General features: G+C 41.7%; 1 protein-coding gene across 9 annotated transcripts in view; it reads left to right on the forward strand.

Moving 5' to 3' along the window:
* TSHZ2 (teashirt zinc finger homeobox 2) overlaps window positions 369-20,502 on the forward strand; it is a 522,973-nt gene continuing 502,839 nt past the window's right edge. For all 9 annotated transcript variants that reach the window (XM_047439875.1, XM_047439874.1, XM_047439873.1 and 6 more), the window contains exon 1: window positions 369-1,344. In XM_047439875.1, coding sequence (XP_047295831.1) covers window positions 1,305-1,344 — 40 coding nt within the window. In that variant the 5' untranslated portion in view covers window positions 369-1,304. The remainder of the gene's footprint in view (window positions 1,345-20,502) is intronic.

Genomic DNA, 20,502 nt, shown 5'->3' on the forward strand with positions numbered 1-20,502 from the left:
TGGTCAGCCAACCTGGCCCCCCTGAATCTCCCTCCACAGCCTCCCAGCTTCAGAGTTCAGCCATCATCACACTGCCTCCTTTTCTCCCGCACCCCTTCCCTCCTCACCTCCTTTCCTCCCGCCCCCGCCCCTTCCGCCTCCCGGAGGGGTGTCCCCGCGCCCGGTGGGCACGCCCTCGCCCCGGCGGAGAGGGCGCACAGAGGGGCCTGGGCCGGCGCGCCGGGGCCCCCGCCCCCAGCCCCTCTCCCCTGCGGGACGCTGTCCCTTTAATAGGCTCCCGCTGCCTGGCGCTCTGCGGCTGGGGAGTAAATTTCTCCCTGTCATCAGGTCGCGGGGAGAGGAGGAGGAGGAGGAGTTTGTTAATGTTCAGTTTGTTCAGCGGGATCGATGTTTGCTGGCATCGCCTCGCCCTGTCTTGTGTGTGTGTGCGAGGGTGTGTGTGTGTGTTTGTGTGTGTGTGCATATGTGGGGGGTGTGAGTGTGTGTGTGCGAGGAAGCGGGGGTGCGTGCGCGTGTGAGTGCGTGTGTGAGTGTCTGTGTGTGTGTCTGTGTGTGTGTGTGAGTGAGTGAATTCCAGATTTTCTGTCTTTCCAAAACCCGCTCCTGTCCTCTCGCATATCACTCACAGACGGGGATCTGACAGCAGCCACAAACCTACAGTGAGTGATCGCTCTCCCCCCGGCACGAATCCGCCATAGAGATCGGCGAGGAGGAGGAGGAGGAGGAGGAAGAAAAGAAGGAGGAGGTGGAGGAGGAGGTGGAGGAGGAGGAGGAGGAGGGAAAGAGGAGAAGGAAGAAGAAGAAAAAGAAGAAACCCACTACCTTCCCAGGATTGCCTTTTTTTTTTCCTTATCTTTACGCGCGAGTGTGCCTGTGGCGCGTGTGCGCCCCTCGTCCCTTCCATCCGAACCCGGGCTTGGATGTTTAATAAAGAAATCAAGTGTCTCAACAGTCACCAAAAAAAAAAAAAACCGCAAAAACAAAACCAAAAAAATTCCAAAAGCAAAAACAAAAAAGAGAGAGGAAAAAAAATTCAAAATAAACAAACAAACAAACAAGGCAGAACCAACCTCTACTTCAAAGCAGCCGGCACAAGCCACCCGTGTCTGCCACCCAGAGAGGGGGGTCTCTGGCCCGTGGTGGAGGAGTTGCAGGGGGGATCGTCAGGGGGACAGAGGCCGAGTGACGTCCTAGGAGCCACCGGGCAAGAGGCGGAGGAGACCCAGAGAGGCCAGAGAGACAGCGGGCCCCAGCGCGCGGCTCGGGGCTGGGGCGCCAGAAGTGGGACTGGAGCGAAGTAGAGGATGCCGAGGAGAAAACAGCAGGCACCCAAGCGGGCGGCAGGTAAGAGAAACGGCTCCGCTTCGGGGCTGCCCTGTGCGCCGAGCTCCTCGCCCGCCCTCCTTGCCCCTGGGTGCCCGGGGGCACCACCCACTTAAGCTTTCGGGGGAGTTTGCGCCGGGTGCCCTTCTAATAACCCCGTCCTCTCTCGCCTTCTCTGGTCTCCCAAATCCTCCCCTTCCAAGCTCCGGTTGGGTTGGGGTGAGCTATCCCACCAAGCCTTTCCTCCTTAAACTTTCTTTCCTCCACCCTCTACCCCACCCCTAACTTTCTTCCAGTCTGTTTCTTGCCTCTCGGGCCAAAGTCGGATTGAGGATTTGGGGTGCGGAGTAGGGAGACAGCCCCTCCACCCCTGCATCCCTCTGCGTGGTCAGTGCCAGTGGCTTTTGGCCTCCAGGGATAGCGTCTCCTCTCACTGGGGCTTGGGGCGCTGAAGTGTGAGGCATACCTAACACTCGGGCTGCAGGCAGGCTTTGGGGCCAGCAATAGGAGTTTAGCGTTGATCACCAAGGTGGACAAAATGCCCCCAGGAAATGGATGACTCTTTGCATATATTTTCTAAAAGGATCCATATTTGGAAATGTAATTAACAATTTCCCTATTCTTTAAAAAAACCAAAAAGGGTTGTAGGGGGGAAATTCCCCATAGAAATTTAAACAGCTCTGGATTTTCTTTGCCTAGAGAGTTGCAAACTTTGTGAAATGATTCGTACTGTAAAAACTATCCCATCTGAATCCTTACTGCCCCCTAAAAAAGATAAGAACAGGTTAATGGATCAGTACAATAGACCTTCTAAAGTTTTTTTTTCTTTTGGGTTGCTTAATTGCTTTTTTAATAGTATGCTGGGGTTTTGTTTCTCGGAAATGTAATATGAAAGTTCATTTTTCTTCTGCCAGACCCACCCACTGAAAAATCAGCTTTCCACTTGATTGCTAGTTTTGATTTGACATTTGATTGATCACCTGTCATCTCGCTGCCTTTGATCTATTCATTCTTGATATATATCAATAAATCACTCACCATGGTAACTCAGAGTGCCAGTGACGCAAACCTTGCCCTCTATATTCAGAGCCAGACATGCACAATTATTATCTTGTTTGGCTTTTAATGTGGGCGTTTTTATTTCTTTGTGTCCTTTAGTTGAATCAGGGCTTTCGCAAAAAGCTTAAGTTTAGTTGTTTTTTCCTCTCTCTCTGTCTTTACCCTCTTGATTTAGGCAACATTAGGTAAGACTGGTCTTCTGCAGACCCACCTCCACATTTCATTCTGTTCCAACTCTAGCAAAACATAGGGAGAAGTTTGGTGGAACACTTTCATAAACTTTGCAAAGTCACCCTTAGAACAAATCCAAAGTTAGTTAGGAATCTGAGGAGAGTGGGCATCCCTTGTCTGAATGTGTTGAACCACCAAGCTCATCCTCCTTCCTCGCCTGAGTGTTTCAAAATATCCACAATTATCATTCCTTCTGAGCACAGAATTGCTTCCCTATTTGTAAGTTGGTTCAAGTGGCATGCAGAAATATTGATAAAGCGTGGATTCATATATTTTCTGATCGTTTCCCTAAAAGCAAAATAATTAAAATATTTTTAGTGAGGTACGTATTTGGAACTTGCCTCATCAGTGAGGTTTTCTTTTTTCAACTCTAGTTACTTCTTTGGAAAACAATGTCTCTTTCCTACCGTTGTCTCTTTCTGCATTTAACTCACTGATTTCCTAAAACTTAGGCTGCTTTGCAATCTGACAGCGTGTGGATGTGTTCAATGGCCTTTGAGACCCAGGAACAGTGAGCCTGCTGCATCTAGTTCTGGCAACATAAGTTTAAGTGTAGCTACATTATTAGAGATAACGTCCTTATTGTTGTCCCGAAAGAGAACCCTGGGCTACGGTCCAGCAAGAAGTGATACTGCCCTGAAAATTACTCTTTTTTTTTTTCTGGTTGTTCCGGTAAAGACTATCAACAACTAGGCAGTAATTTAAATTACCAGAATGACTGGACATGTCTCCTTTAGTAAGCTCATTACAAAAAGTGCATTGCTCAGAATTGCTCGACTTTGATTATAATTATCCTACGATCGATAAGGATCCAGGTGTACGTAACATAACACTGTATCACATTATTTAAATCAGGTCCTTTTCATTAAGCTGTGTCTGTTGGTGCTGGCTAGTTTATTGGTGTGTGTGGGTGTGTGGGGGTGTGTGTGTGTGTGTGTTAGAAACTTGTAACTATAGTTTCAGTTTTCTGGCCTATTATATTCCTACTGTCTTTGTATGTTTGTTTTGTATGATTCTTATTATTTTCACCAGAAGCGGAAACCCTTTTTAAGCTGAAAAAGGATGATTCATTTCGTACACAGTGAGGGCCCTCTTACCTTATTTATTTGCTCACATATTAATAGAGGAGACAGTTTTTCATGCAGTGTTTCTTCTGTTCATCTAAGGTCATCAATGCCCTACTCTATTTCAGCTGAAGTGGTTATTCACAAGTAAAGTTAGCCACTTTGGGGTTCTGTAGTCAGTTAACATCCAGGGAAGGGGAGAAGGTGGGTTCTAAGATTATGGCCATACTAACTTTTATCACTGCTTAAAATTAAACACAATGCACAACTGTAAGTAATTACACCCAAGGACTGATGTTGAAAGCTTGATTTCTAGCTTGATTAATGAATAATGGGAGATAGAAAAAGCCTGTGAGTGGATCCGAGCTGAGGCTCTCCCGGAGCGCTCTTTTTCCCAAGAACTGTTCCAGGCAATTTGATTCCTTTGTATTATTAGTTATAAGTTCCATGTTTCAAGGAATCAATTACAGAACTTTCTACTAAAGCAGGTATCTAAACAGAATAAACAAGATGATATTGTAAGTGATGAGGAATTTTAGTCTTTATTTGTTATGTTCCTCCCCCTTCAGGGGGAAGGGATGTGAGGGGACAATTCTCTTTAAGGAAACAGCTAAATCAGAGTATTTCCCTCTGAAATGTCATTCTTCCTGGCTTTCTTAAGCTATGCTATTCCACCATACTATTACTTAGGGCAAGAAAAAAAAAGTTGAGAAAGCAGCCTACAGTACCCCAGGGGTTTGTGTTGTGTGTGCATGCTTGCTTCCTTGGATGTATATTTCACTCACCATTAAAATACATCCACTATTACCTGAAAATATTGCAGGATTCAGTACCAGCATTTTCCCCTTCTATGCATTTCAAGGGAGATAGAGAAAATGGCAGGAAAGTAAAACAGAACGGTGTTTTGATTTGTTTGCATTTTGCAGGATGCAGAGTGGTTAAAAATTTAAAATTGTAGACTTAGAATCTAACTCTTGATTTTCTACAGCCTATCTCAGCCTCTGTGCGCGCACATAAATAATACGTATTTTATTTCACCATACTGAACTGCTTTTATATTAATGACAGCCAATTGCAATAGAACACACAATCTTTTGTGAGCACATCTTGTGAATATATCTTTTATATATGTAAGTTATAGGATTCTGCCCCTGCCCACCCAAAGCAATTAGATGTTTCCCTCTTGCTGACTCTTAAAGGCTTTCTGATCACCCAGATCTGAAGAGTCTTGCAAGAAAGAACAGCTCCCTCAATTTATTTTGTTTATTTAATATGGAGATGAATAATGCAGATTTTGTTTTCATGAATGTCCTTGTGTGGCAGTAAACATTAGACTATTAGCAATCATTACTTAAAAGTTGCAATTTGCACCTTAATAACACAGGTTATTTACATGGGAAACATAGTCAACAGGGACAACTCTGAACACTGCAACAGAGCAGAAATGACCTCAGAGATCTCTTTTCCACCTCTTGATAGTGATGACTCTGAATTAACCGGTGAGGTCCCAGAAATCTCAACCAACAGGATGGAGGGAGGGGGCAGGCAGCTCAGGGCGAAGTTTACCTTTAATTTACTGTCAAGTGGGACAGCTTTCAAGAGACTAGGAATCGGGTAGATTTGGGACCCTTCCTCCCTCACTTTGTTTAAACATCCTTCAGAAAGACAAGTTCACATCTTGAATATTTAAATATCTCACGCGATGGATTCCTTCACTTGCCCAAAAGTATGTTTTTAACAAATGAATGGAAAAATACACACACACACACACACACACACACACACACACACACACACACACACGCATGGACACAATAAAGTCCAAAGGGTCTTAGCAGCACAAACTCTTTTGGCCATTCTTGTTACTTAAGGCAGATATCTGAAAAAGGAAGGATAGATTCCTTGAAATCGCTTGGTCCACACAACATTTTGGACGGAAATTGATTGCTTAAGTGGTCCTTTTCCCACCCCCGTCTTGATTTCCTTCTTCCACCTCTCACCTCACCCTTAAAGACTCAGACTGAATAGGACATCTCAAAAGCCCATTTGTTTTAGGCATTTATTGATTTCATTTTTAATCTGCCATATCAGGACACAATACGTTAACCCTAATCAGCAGATTACAAGTGACAGAGAGTTTAGTGGAAACTCTGTAAGGGAGCAGGGGCTCCGGGAAACTTCTTGACAATGAAAATCTTCTCTGAGGCTTAAGAGTTTGGATGCTGAAGATTACTTTTGGGGAGGGGAGAAACATTCCTCAGAAACAGTCTACATTTTTTTCTTCCACTTTACATTTCTTTATCTCCCAGTTGCCCATTCTACTGCTACACTTTGGGAATGCTTAACACCCAAGAAATACCTCCCAAGTATTTTTAGGAGGTCGGTCCCTGAAGCAGCTTGACTTTTGTCATAGTCTCCAACGGACGTTTATGCTTTCATTTCATCCCAGCTGATTTCTCATTCATTTGACGGAATTTCTCCAAAGGATAATACCTGAGTTGATCTGTTTCTTTTCCCAGGGCCTTGGGAATTGTGCTGTCCATTGAATGGGTTTTGGTCATGGGGGTGGGGGCACAGACTGAGCCTGGCATTTTTTAAAGCCATTGAAATGATGCCTCACTGTTCATCACTGCAGCTGAGCTTATCAAGTCAACCAAGAAGAAAACCTAGGCCCTGGTCACGTTTGTGCTATGCCTGTAATTAGCTGACACGAGGTAAATGTCCAAAGTCGACCTTCCCTTCCATCACTGTATTTATACTATCAATTTTATTTGGGAATGTCATGGTCTGGGAAGACTCAGCCACTATTTCGAAGGCAATGCCTGCTTCTACCTAGGTCCCCTTTAAAAAAACACAGAAATTGCCGAACAAATTCTATATTAAGACCAGGCATACACGGAGTATCATTTTCGTTTGATGCAAAGTCAGTTGGAAATACATTTAACTAACAGTTAAATAGTGTCTTGCATCGCTTCCCTGAAGCAGTGGTTTTTCATTACATATTTAATTACAATCAAACTGAACGACTTTTATTAAAAAAATCACAGTGGTATTAAAAGAAGCCTGGCGCACAAATAATTTTATTGCTTCACAAGTTGAGAACGCTTTTATATTTTTATTTCTTTGAGAGAAATTTATTTTAATTTTCTAATGTTGTGATAAATACAGACTATCTTTTACTGTAGTCTGTAATCAGGGAGAGCTTATCCTTCTATCTTTATAGAGTCTGCTTACCCCAGAATAGGTTTTTACATTCATTTTTCAGTAATTTGTAACAATTGGTATTTTTAATTTTTTTTTTAAGTTTTACAAGTTCTATTTAAAGTTAGAAATTCTCACATTCCTTAGGGTGATCTTTGGCAAGCAGCTCTTCGATTATAGGAGGAAGTTAGTCATTCTAACCACATAAGAAAGTGGAGAGTACTTGCTTGCTTACCTGAATATTACAGTAAGAAAAAAACACCATCTATTTACATGCCTCTAACATGTAACACTATTTTCACTGGATTTATAATTTCTTTTTTTTTTCCTCCTACTGACCTTTCATTCACTTGTTTTGGGAACTTTTTCTGAGAAGAACGTTTAGAGATAGCATTTAAAGTGGATTTCAAGATACATCAGATTTTAAGACATTGTAATAAAAATTAGAGACTTCAGAGCCCAACGGTTCACTGCTAGTCTAGGTCTGCAAACTAATGAGAAAGCACCTCTGCAAACACATAGTTTCAACTTTAACTTGCACATGAATGGGGAGCGTCTCCAGCAGTGTGGCCGTATCCATATTGCTCATTTTGTCCGAGAAATTATTTTGTCCAAGGGTATCAGACTGAGGTCCGTTCAAAGACATTATATACATACACAGAGACACAGAAGAGAAATCTGAGATGCGAGTGGGAATTGCTGATATATTTGTTTCCAAAGCAAACTCCATGAATGAAATGATTCAATAATTTGGAGGCATTTGAAAGTCATTAAAATGGCCATTTGGAATTTTCAGTTGTTGCCTCCCTCAATTTTTTACGTTTCCCCTGTAGAAAAAGACATCCTCTGGGCACCCTCAAATATTCTGGGATGCTAAAGTCATGCTAAAATTATTTACAATTTTAGAAATTAAAATTCAGGAGGCACAGCAAGATAATCCGATTATTAATATATCAGTATTATTTAGCTATGCATAACAACAGGAAAACGCACAATGCAAAAGTTTTAGAGATAATGAGCTTAGAGAAATTACATGGGGGGAAGAAATACCTGGATCATATTTGAAAGCATTTGTCTTGAATTCTGCTCATCTAAATGAGAGCTCTCTTTCTACCTGTGTCATTTAAAAAACAATTTCAATATCCTCCTACCTGCTACCCCAGCCTGAAGCAGGGACTAATGAAACTCTCTCTGGACACACAGATGTAAGACACTATATTACACAACACTTTTTAAAAAATTGTTTCAGAAAACCAAATGTGGGCATGCAAACCAAAAGAAAAACCTCAAGGATCTTCGTAAGATAGCTAGCTCAGGGTTCAAGATCAAGAGAACTTTGTTGCGGCAGGATAAGAAGACAACAGCATTGCGTTTTAGCTAAACATCTCTTCTTGGCAAATGAGAAGCGGTGAAGCAGGGAAGATTTTTTTAAGGAGCTTTTTAGCTCTTTTGCATCTCTCTCCAAAGACTAATTTAATTGAAAAGCTGTAGTGTCCATTTATGATTAAGGAAAGGCCTCATGTTTCCACAACACTGCTAGACACTAAGGTGGGTTTGAAGAAAAAAAAAAAAAGGCCAGCATTCTGCAGTTTCTGTTAGTATAAAAATTAAGATCACTGGTCTTAATTACTTGAGTGCTTTCAGAACTGAAGGAATACTCTAAAATCACCCCTGAGCTTTCTTCTTAAAGCCACATCTAAGCCATTTCTATGGAAATTATATAGTTTAGATATTAAGGTGGGTAGAATACAGTTATTGCTTTTAATGAAAATAGTTACGAAGGGCAGAATGAGATAAAAACAGAGTTGGCAGCAGCCATTCTATTTGTAATGAATTTGAAAGAAACTTCCGTAATGCTTTACTGGATCATGAAAAACCCATGAAACCTTGTGACATGGGAGATACAAAAATGAGACAGAGGGTCAAGGTCTTCTATAGGGGAAAAATGGCTTGTGTAAGTGAGAGCAGTGGCATATAAATATCTCTATATAAACTGCACAGGGCTTACTTTAAATCACTTCAATTTATCAGATCCTTGGAATTTTTTTTATGTATTTAGGAGCCTCTCTTTTATACCCCAGAGAGATATGAATAGCTTCTGGGCCAAGATGATGCTGTAGAGAAGAGTCAAATCTATTCTATGTGCACGGTGCCATTTGGTACAGAAGAAATGCCAAAATGAAAAGCCATAAATGCGTTTTATATCAGAATTGCCTTTGGCTATTTTCCTTTATTAGAAAGTTGGGTACACTGCTGAGTGCTTCTTCTTGTTTTCCCCCTTGGGATTAGATTTGAGACTGTGGATGGAACAGCGGAGTAAGGGCAAGTGACTTGGGTTCTGGTTGCAGCCTTGCCCCACGCTAGTTATTTAGCCCCGGGCAAGCTCTAGAGATAAACCTTACTCTCCGGGTAAGAATGTGAGTTTTTGGAGTCAGACTGATTGAAGTTCAAGTCTCTAGGTCTAATTCTTATTCGGCCGCGTAAACTTGGGCAGGCTGCTCAAATCTCTGCCCTCCACTTTCTAATCTATAAAATGGGGGCAATCATATGTTCCAGGTGTGTGGAAAGGATTGTGTCAGAGGAGGGCTGAGAAAGTGTGCTGAAACTGTTAGGCACCACAGGGATACGAGGGAATAGTGTGTCTTTACCCTGAATAACCAGACTATGGAAAATTTATATTAACTGGGAAACAAGCAACTTACCAGTTATCACAGAACAAGGGGTCCAGGGCTTGAAAGAAACCAGATATGGATGGATTTTGATTTGTAAGCCTGGAAACACAATGGCTAAGCAGTGTTTTAGCCTCTTCTCCTGAGGCAGACTCATTCTGGGCTGTTTGGAGTCCAGCACCCGCTCAAAAAAGAGTTTCTTTCCCAAGAAATAGAATTTATAGCACCACCAACAACGGTAACAATGGTAACAATGATATCTGCCACTAAACAAGTGCTTTTTACATACCACGTGCTTTATATGTTTACATTTATTCGTTTACACGGCAGTTATTTCTTGAGTTCCTACTATGTGTCAGATGCTGTTCTACTACCTGGACCTGGAGGTGAATAGGATGGGGATGATCCCTGGGGATCTTGCCCTCCAATTGGGGGAAGCTAGAGAATATACAAAGAAATTTATAAAGGAAAAGATAATTTCAGTATAGAAAAAAAGCTTCATGATGGCAATAGCTTTATAAAAGCAAAATTATGAGAGCAGGAGTTGGGACAACAGAGATGTAGATGGTCAGGGGAGACCTCTCAGAGGAGGGGACATCTGGGCTAAGTCCTGTTCCTTATAACTTTCAAGTATAATCCCTGTTTTACTGATGAGAATCTGAGTAAGTTGCAGGATAACTCATTCAAGTTCGTGCGGTAGCCAAGCTGAGTTTTAAACTCAGCTCTTCCTGCTTCCAAAGTCCATGCATTTAATTTATTATGATCGTTTATCTAGAATAGTCATAGCGAGTTGCCAGGAAGGACCCAAGGAAGAACCCTCAGTCTTATTATTCTCCCCCTGTGTCTATTGTGATGTCTAAAGCTATGGGGTTAATTGAGAGCCTAGACGGAGGATGCTGCCTTTAGCGGCATCTCCAGATAGAATCTTCAGGCCAACTCCTGTCATCTGAAGTTGTCTCTTTATGGGATGTTCTTTCATATGTCCGTACATGCATTCATTTGTTCAACAAATATTGGCTGTGCATCTATTATGTGCCAGGTATTGTTCTAGGTGCTGTAAAAATAACAGTAGACAAGAATAGAGATGCCCCTGCCCTCACACAGCTAATATTCTTGTGGGCTAGCCTAAAAAGCTAACAAACAAATAAATATATAACACAATATTGAATAGTCCTAATTGCATTTCATAAGAATAAATCTGGCTTCATGAGGTAGAGTATGATGGAGGGTTGCCATGTTATATAGAGTGGTCAGGGGAGCTATTTCTCCAGTGGTGATTTGATCAGACCTGAAAAAAAAGTGAGAGACTAGCCAAGCACAGGGCTGGGAGAAGCAGTCCAGGCAGAGGAAGGAGGAAATGCCAAAGGCCTAAGGAGGTGATGTGATCTGATTGGTTATTAGTTGAACATAGGTCCTGTTTGTATTTCAAAAGTGATGATGGACTTGGGCATGTTTGCTCTCTCCGTCTACTTACCCAGCCCCTAGTGATGGTGAGTAGGATGCTTAGGATGATAGAGGTGGCAGCTGGAGATAAAAACACATTCCCAGCCTTCATAGAGAGATTGGTGCTGTGATGGATGACATGGCGAGGCTGTGGAAAGGCATTGTTAAGAGTCAAGCCGACCTGGGGTCCAACTGCAGCCAGCTGTGCACTCAGAAGCAAGTTTCCTCACCTCATTGCACCTCAGCGTTTTCATCTGTCAGATGGGGATAAGAATTTTGCTCACCTCACATTTTACTTGTGATAATTAGATTATGTGACACATATAAAACTCTTGGTGCGGGCCCAGTATTTACATGGGTTCTTCCTCACAAATGAATGTTTTTTATTCTTGCACTTAATTGTGTTTTCTTTTCTGCAGGAATTCTGAGAGAAATCTAGGCACCTGAGTTAGTCCTTGGCACCGTTTAGGCAGTAACCAAATATTTCCTGATGAATGAATAAATGAAACTGTAAAGAAATGAATGCTTTCATTCATATATTGCTTTGTATACTAATTAATTACTTTCAAGTATAAGGATCTCTTTCATAGGTCTAAAACTTTTAGCAGACCTCTGGACCAATTGCAAATCCTAGCTGTTCTTAGAATATGTTTCAAATGAGAAAATATTAATGACCAAAAGACGATGATTTTCGTCTGAATCTTGTATTTTGCGCATCGTGACATCACGTGCCTTCGACTGAAGAGCAGTGATATCCCTTTGTGCGGTAAATATTGTGCATTCATCTTCTAGACAGTGCTTGCTGAGAACATGGATGGAGGGGAAGGAGTGGAGGGTCCTCATTTCTGACCCTGAGGTTCAGCCTCTCCCTGCGCGCTCTCCAAGTGGTGCTCCGAGCCCCCCAGGACCTGGCAACTCTGTCCCTCCCCCACGGGGAACCCGCGCTCATCCCCTCAGGCCCCAGGCGGCGAAGCTTAGGGGTTGTTAAGCTAATGGGAATAGGCTACGGGCTGTTTCCTGGTAACGCCTTCTTCACTTTTTAATTGTCACCTCCAGATAAGTGCCTGAGAGCAGGAAGAAGGGAAGCTGGCTGGCTGCCTGTTAAGATGTATCTTAGGACAAAGAGATTTGGGATCCTGGAGAGCACGGGGGAGATTCTGCTGCCTGCCTTAGGACCTTTATGAACAAGCGTGATGTTGGGAGGGCGGCTGTGGCTGTGTACCAGGTGCTGTAGGAGGCGCTGGAACTGGAGCCTTGCATCCGAATGACAAAGTGCCTGCCTTCCCGGAGCTTACATTGAGTGCGGAGGACAGACCAGGGACTAGCCAGCAGACAGTCCCATGTGTCAGGGTCTGGTGTTTGCAGAGGGTGTTTGCAGGGGTAGAGCATGACAGGAAGTGGCTGTTTTGGATAAGACGATCAGGAAAGGTACCCGTCTGCGGAAGTGATACTGGGTCTGGAGTGAAGCGGTTGGAAGAAAACTGCACCTCTCTGGAGGAAGACAGTGCCAGGCACAGCTGAAAATCCGGGGCTAGAGCTACTGGGAGGAACAGGAGGAGCAGCTGGGAAACTGGGTGGCCGGAGCAGACGGGGAGGGTGAGCAGGGAGGGTAAAGATAAGCAAGCAAGGGGCTGGGGCTGTCACCGAGGTGGGGTGCCTCGGAGGGTGCAGGAGCAGAGTCAGGATCTGACTTAGGTTTGATAGGCTCCTCTGGCTGTCCTGCGATTTATCAGGGACCCAGGTTGCGAGCAGGCCGACCACTCAAGAGGCGTCTACATCAATGCAGTCAAAGGCTATGCTGACTTGGACCAGATGGATGGCGGAAGAGCCATGACAGTGGTCCGGGGAGAGACCACAAGTTTGCAGGCAGGGTGCTAGTGAAAAAGAGGCGTCTACTGAAAGCTGTCCAGGAGAAATCAGACTAGGTTAGCCATGAATATTTTCTCTAATTCTGTCTTCTATTTTTCTCCTCCAGTTATATGTAAGGGTCTTACTGCAAATTGTCAGTCTATCGTTCTCTGAGCCAAAGTGGAAACCAATAAAAGTGTTGGGAGCTGCCTACATTCTAGAACTGACCGTACAGGGAAAGAGGCCACACTTTTCCACGCATATTTCCTGGAGTCCTGGAATGGCTTCTTCACATATTTCTCCACCCCCATTAGACAACTCAGTCACTAGGCAAGAGGATGGATCTTGGAGTCTGACAGACAGGCATGGGTTCAATTTCTCTCCAACGATTATTTCATCTCGGTGCGACCTCAGGCATCTTTGCTTTCCCAGACTTTGTTTTCTCATTAGCAAAACAGACCTAATAAAAGGACTCATTTCATAGGTTTTTTATGAGGATTAATTGAGATAAACCAGATAATACGCTTAACACCGTGGTACTTGCAATGAAGAAAATGGTGAATGGTACATACATGGTAAGTGGTCAATACATTTTAGTCATTCTATTAACAAGTTAATAATCCTCTCCATGCCTTGATTTCCTTATTGGTAGAATGGGGATAATAAAACCCCCTTCTGGGTAGTTGGGAGAAGTCAAGCATTAATACCAGTGAAGCACTTCAAATGGTGCTTTGCATACAGCGAGTGCTCAATAAATGTTAAATTCTTAAAATCATCACCACGATTCTGACCTTATGGACTTTGAAGGGCAGATGTTGTGTCTCATTGCTTTCGTGTCCACAAGACCTGGCACATAGACGATGCTCAATAAATATTATTTGAAGGAGTGAATGATGGTGACATGGTTCTTAGGAGTTAAAATGAGAAAACCCAAGGAGCCGAAAGCATGTCTCTACGGGGAAAGGTTAGAGAGCACTGACTCAAACCATCGTCTCCAATTATGCAGTTTTAATGAGGAAGCAAGCCCAACCTTGAACATTATTTAAGCCAGAGTTATCCCAATAAGCATTTTCCTACCATGAGTGGTAGATTAAGTAGCATTGAGTCATGTAGTGAAAGTAATGTCCCTTCTTCATACCATTTCAATGCCTCTGGTAAGTCAAGAGAAAGTCTTTGATAATAGCCTATTTTTAACACCTCTCACCCTTGTTTGTCAGAAAGAGCAGACCTCAGATTCAGAGACTTTAGCAAGCAAAGATATCCAGTAAAGAAATGAAATAATGGCCGGGCACAGTGGCTCACGCCTGTAATCCCAGCACTTTGGGAGTCCTAGGCAGGCGGATCACGAGGTTGGGAGTTCGAGACCAGCCTGACCAACATGGCGAAACCCCGTCTCTACTAAAAATACAGAAAAAAAAAAAATTAGCCGGGCGTGGTGGTGGCACATGCCTGTAAACCCAGCTACTCAGGAGGCTGAAGCAGGAGAATTGCTTGAACCCGGGAGGCGGAGGTTGCAGTGAGAGCCGAGATTATGCCACTGCACTCCAGCCTGGGCAATGGAGCAAGAATCCATCAAAAAAAAAAAAAAAAAGAAAGAAAGAAATGAAATAATAATCTCAGGGCAGGGCATGGTGGCTCACGCCTGTAATCCTAGCACTATGGGAAGCCGAGGTGGCAGATCACCTGAGGTCAGGGGTTTGAGACCAGCCTGGCCAAGATGATGAAACCCCATCTCTACTAAAAATACAAAAATTAGCCAGGCGTGATGGGGCATTTCTGTAATCCCAGCTACTCCGGAAGCTGAGCCAGGAGAATCGCTTGAACCCAGGAGGCGGAGATTGAAGTGAGCCGAGATCTCGCCACTGCACTCCAGCCTGGGCAACAGAGTGAAACTCCGTCTCAAAAAAAAAGAAATAATAATCTTAGACTTTTGTTGTCTGATTACCATCAATGTATGGCAAATGATATGGGTTTTTCATTGACTATGACATAAATTTTTGTTTTAAAATAAAATTACGGCAAGAAAAAAGAAGGAATGGTTTTAAAGAAATATTAAAAAATCAATTGTGTGTGTGTGTGGTGTGTTTGTGTGTTTTGTGTGTGTGTGTGTATGTAGGGGAAGATGTTGCACAAGCTGTGAAGAGGGGGTAGAATGATGTGAGGACACTGCAATGCCAGGGCAGGGCAAGGTGCAGAAGAAGCTGTGAGTAAGGGCTGTCAAGAAACCCCCAGAAGATAGAGGCTTTCATTAAAACTTCCAAAAACTTTGGAAATCTGAAGGAATCTCCTCTCCCAGGATATCAGCGGGAAGCTCAGGAAAGTCTTTACTCACCCCCAAAATTTTGCAAATATGGAGGGAATGGGAATGATTTCCTGGTTTTGCATCTAGAATAGAGGAGTGGTTCTCAACCTTTATTTGGTATACTCATCACTTGGAGAAGTTGCTAAAATGCAAATTTGCAGATTCCAGACCTACAGCCTAGAGATTCTGATTCCATAGGAGGGGAATGAGGCCCATGAATCTGGGAATCTGTACATTAGATATCCATTAATCCATTTGAATTACAGGATAACAGGAAAAAGTACATAAAATTTATATAAGTTCCCTTTTTTTATACTCTTTCTCTCTCCTCTCTCTCTCTCTTTCTCTCTCCTCTCTCTCTCTCTTTCCCTCTCTCTTTCTCCCTCTCTCTCTTCTCTCTCTCCTCTCTCTCTCTCTCCCCTACCCCCAAAATGCCAAAGCACTTATATTTTAAAAGTTGTTTCAAAGTTGTTTGAGGGGTCCATTTTCACTTGTGGCTTTTAGTGAACAGAAAAAAATATAAGAAGGCTCTCTATTGTGTTACAGCGAGGAAATGCATGCATTTACACATTTGTCTACCTGGTCTCAGCATGAAACAGAGCCCAGAAAAGTCTTCAATTAAGAAGGAGAAAGACAAGCAATCCAGAAAATAATTTAAGAGGGCTTTGTCTGCTTGGGAGCCAGCTGGCAACCTGGGTTCCAGATCAGTGAGACAAGAAAGAAGCAAAAGGGATCTCTCAGACTTGATTCTTTATTTCTTACACCCTACAATTCTCAAGACTCTATAGAATGAGGGCAGAAAACCTGGGTTGTATTTTTTGGAATCTCCTCTACTTTCTTGTTATCTGTTTCATATTTTTTCATACTTTTTCAATGACTTCTCTTCTTTTTTATTCTTCCTTCATTTCCTTTGTTCTTTCCTGATTTCCTTTCCTGAATCAGACTTCCAAGCCCTTTCTATGTAGTACCGGTGATCCATGGGTGAATGTGATAAAAACGATGATGGTGCTAATGATGAACATGACACTAACTGTCATCGCCTTAATGGTTACCATTTCTTGACCCATATAACAACGAAGCCAAAAGGACTAAGCTTGTACCTAACATTTACCAAGCACTGGCTACATTCAGGTTGTTTATATACAATCTCTCCCCGAGACATCCTGTAAGCTGGTTATGATTATTGGCCAATTGAATAGATACGGAAACCTAAGTTTTGGAAATTTCAAGGAGCTTGACTAAGATGATGACAAGCTTTTAGATAGGATACTGAAGCCCAGGCCCACCTATCAGAGTCCAAGCTCTCAGACACTATGCTTTGTTGCTTCTCATAGTATTTCATGCTTAACAGCACAGACTCACATAAATAAACTTCCACAATATAGTATAGATACATGGAGGCTAAGGCCATGAACTGAAATTTAGTGTTTCCCCAGGTTGAAGTAAGTCAATTGTGTTGTAGAAAAAAAAAAAAAAGATCATCCCTACTTATTTAAATCCCCAAACACCATCTTTAAAACTTGAGCCTATGAAGAAAAAGAATAAAGACTTTTGAAATCTCTTATGCTATCCATGATGGCATTTTTGTAAATCCATTCCTGTTTCACTAAACAAAAGTAGAAAAAAATCATGAAAACCCCCAACACAGTCCATCTGGGGCGTCTCAGTAAGAATCGTGCTCACCCACTCCACAGCATCTTTGAGGATGTGGCCTTAAGTCAGACGCTGCTCATCTGTTCCTGATAAATCTCTTGTAGGCTCCAGGACTCTTCCTGGCCATCAAAAAATATGGAACGCATGCAACGACACTGCCCTCTTATTTATTTTAGCAAATGAAAATCTGCCCTCACAGGTTTATGGTCAAGATGTCTAAAAGATGTCTTGTATTTGTATTTAAGAGTCACCTTAACAGTAGGTGACTCTTAAATGAGTACTCCAAATAATAGGATAAGAAAGGTGATCATGAAACTCAAGGGATCCTATCTGAGAGGGAGAATGTTGTCTACACCAGAAATCATGATAGACTCTGTCTGGCAAAAAAAAAAAAAAAAATCAATTGTTTTTAGTTATTATTGGTGATGTTTTTTTTTAACATTTTTGTTTATTTATTTCCTTTTTAGTGGGTCACATTTTAAAACAACCCATTGTGTTAATACAAAGTTTGGCAAACTGCCTTGCCATCTGATTTGAGGTTAATCTAATAAGAAATGGAATGAAATGATCATCCTGTTTTATTGTCTTTAACATTAATGTTTTCTTTGTTAGTATTGGATGGGAAGTCAGTCAGATGGAATAGAAGAAAGAACTGTTAAAAAAATAAAATGAGCTTATTTCACTTGATCAATCAATTTCAGATATAAAATAATTAAGCTTTACAAATAGTTAAGGACTCTTTGAACAACCAGCTTAAAATCTCTGTGCCTCACTCCTGTAAAATAGGCATAAGGAGAGTTCTTACTTCCATGCACTATTATGAGAAGTTAAAAAGGTGATACTTATTACATACTCAGAACAACGCTTGGCGCATAATAAGAATTCAACAAATTTTAGTTATTATTTCCTTTCTCAGTCTCTCCCTAGAGACAGGCACTATTAAAAATCTAGTGTGCGTATCTTCCATTATTTATAGTTTTACATGCATGTATATGTTGTTAGAAGCATTATTATTCTTTCGTATATGTTTTTAAAAGATTGTGTAAATAGTTTCACACTATATTTTGTAATTTTTTTTCCTTTTTTTTTAACTTTATGTTTGGACTCTAACCAAGTAAATAGATAGGTAGAAAAAAGAAAAAGAGAGATGATAGGTTTTAATATATATACATACTAATTATATATATATAACTAATTTCTCTTTATGTGCTTTGTAATATTCCATCATAAGAATGTTCATTTGTATTCATTTATCGGTTCCTCTGTTAATAGACATTTAGCATGTTTTAAATTTTTCACCATTGCACAAAATCCTGTATTGAATATTGGTGGTAATTTTTACAATCTTCACATAAGTAATTTATGTGGAGAAGAACAGTTATGAAAAATTTACTGGATGTAGTAAGAAAATCATTTGGGAAAAAAATAAACATTATTGAAACAGCTAATATTTTATAATTTGAATATTTTTTGTAACTTCACTGAGATGTCTACCCCTCTAATGAAAAATGTCTACCCCTCTAACCAAAGATGTCTACCCCTCTAACCAAAACATTTGCACATAGTAGGCACTTGAAAAATGCCTGCTTGGCTTAAGTACGCTGAACGTAAATAAAATATATCAATAATCCCAATAATAAGTGTGTTAAGAAAACTGAGTAGCTGCCTTGGGGTGGGGTGGGGTGGGGAACAGGGAGAAGTAAAAAGAAAAGCATGAACAACAGAAAAGAAATCACACTTGTCCTCAGTGTTTGTAATAGATCAAGCTTCAGAGCTGGCCAGCTACGGCTTTAGAGATGCCGAGCTCCTGGAGTGTTACAGGTGTGTGGATGGGGTCGGGTCAGGGAAGGAAGAGCCCCCCGGATTTTGTGTTACAAGATGAATTGTTAACAACAGTCAATCCCGCAATTTAACACTTTAAGCAGTTAAACTTAAGTTAATGCAGTTTAGCAAACATATATTGAAGCTCACTGGTAGGTCCAGGGGGTAGAAATAAATAAGACAGAACTCCAATGTTTAGAAGGTCCATGTGGTACAATATGCTTTTCCTAACCAAGACCAACATCATCCTTATAACAGGGATGTGTGTGTGTGTGTGTTGGGTCTATTACCTCTGCGTATTGAGAACACTGTGTGTATATTTTACCCAGCATGACTTGGTTACACTGTATGTATATTTTGATTGTGTATTTCTGCTGTAGGTCTCTTTTATTGTGTGCGTGAGTTGTGAATACATGTATATTATGTGTGTTGTGATTGAACATGTGTGATGTATGTTGTGGGTATTAGTGTGTGTGTTGTGGCAGGGGAAGAGAGCATGAAAAGCTTTTCTGATGCATGATTTTGTGTGGATTATGTATATTGTGGGTATTATTGTGTGTGTTGTAGGGGGAGAGAGTGTGAAAGCTTTTCTGATGCATGATTTTGTGTGGATTATGTATGTTGTGGGTATTAGTGTGTGTTGTGGGGGGAGAGAGTGTGAAAGCTTTTCTGATGCATGATTTTGTGTGGATTATGTATGTTGTGGGTATTAGTGTGTGTTGTGGGGGGAGAGAGTGTGAAAGCTTTTCTGATGTATGATTTTGTGTGGATTATGTATGTTGTGGGTATCAGTGTGTGTTGTGGGGGGAGAGAGTGTGAAAGCTTTTCTGATGCATGATTTTGTGTGGATTATGTATGTTGTGGGTATTAGTGTGTGTGTTGTAGGAGAAGAGAGTGTGAAAGCTTTTCTGATGTATGATTTTGTGTGGATTATGTATGTTGTGGGTATTAGTGTGTGTTGTGGGGAGAGAGAGTGTGAAAGCTTTTCTGATGCATGATTTTGTGTGGATTATGTATGTTGTGGGTATTAGTGTGTGTTGTGGGGGGAGAGAATGTGAAAGCTTTTCTGATGCATGATTTTGTGTGGATTATGTATGTTGTAGGTATTAGTGTGTGTGTTGGGGGCAGAGAGTGTGAAAAGCTTTTCTGATGCATGATTTTGTGTGGATTATGTATGTTGTGGGTATTAGTGTGTGTTGTGGGGAAAGAGTGTGAAAAGCTTTTCTGGTGCATGATTTTGCGTTTGTGGTGGACCTGGCATGTTCATGTGTTCTTGCCAACTATGCTGCTAATGGAATCACTGCAAAGCCCTTCAGGATTTTCCCTGTGAACATGAAGCCGACGTCACAGTGTATTTTCCTGGGGGTTCCCCTGTGGCACTGTACCCTGACCTCCTGGTCATGGCTTGGTTAGAGGAAAACAAAACCACTGTTACACAGGATGTCCCCTGCTCAGGAAAATTTGCTCTCAATGGGAAATGTATAAGAGACAGATAGTACTGGAAGCTCCACACCCTATTGTAATGTCTATTTCCTGGCCTCTCTTCCTCTCCATGCCACATGTTCTATCGTGTCAGGGATTCATCTTAGGAATTGTGGGAACAATTCATTTGCAGTACCTGGAACACAGTCAGTGGGTTGAATGCATGAATGTATGAATGAATGAATGAACAAGGGGTTCTCCAAGGTTCCAGGCCTTTGGAATATTTAGATACCCCAGTTATTTATACTCACAGAGCTGACTGTAGTAGGATCTTAGTAAATGTCATATAGATAAACCGATGCATGCACATGGCACTCGTGAACATTTGCTTATCTCAGAAGCAGGCTAGCAATCGTAAGAAAACAGTTCTTCAGTGGGGCTTTTATTCTTCCTCTGTGGATCCCAT

The sequence above is a fragment of the Homo sapiens genome, chromosome 20 (genome assembly GCF_000001405.40).
Source record: "Homo sapiens chromosome 20, GRCh38.p14 Primary Assembly".
NCBI classification, from domain to species: Eukaryota; Metazoa; Chordata; class Mammalia; order Primates; family Hominidae; genus Homo; species Homo sapiens.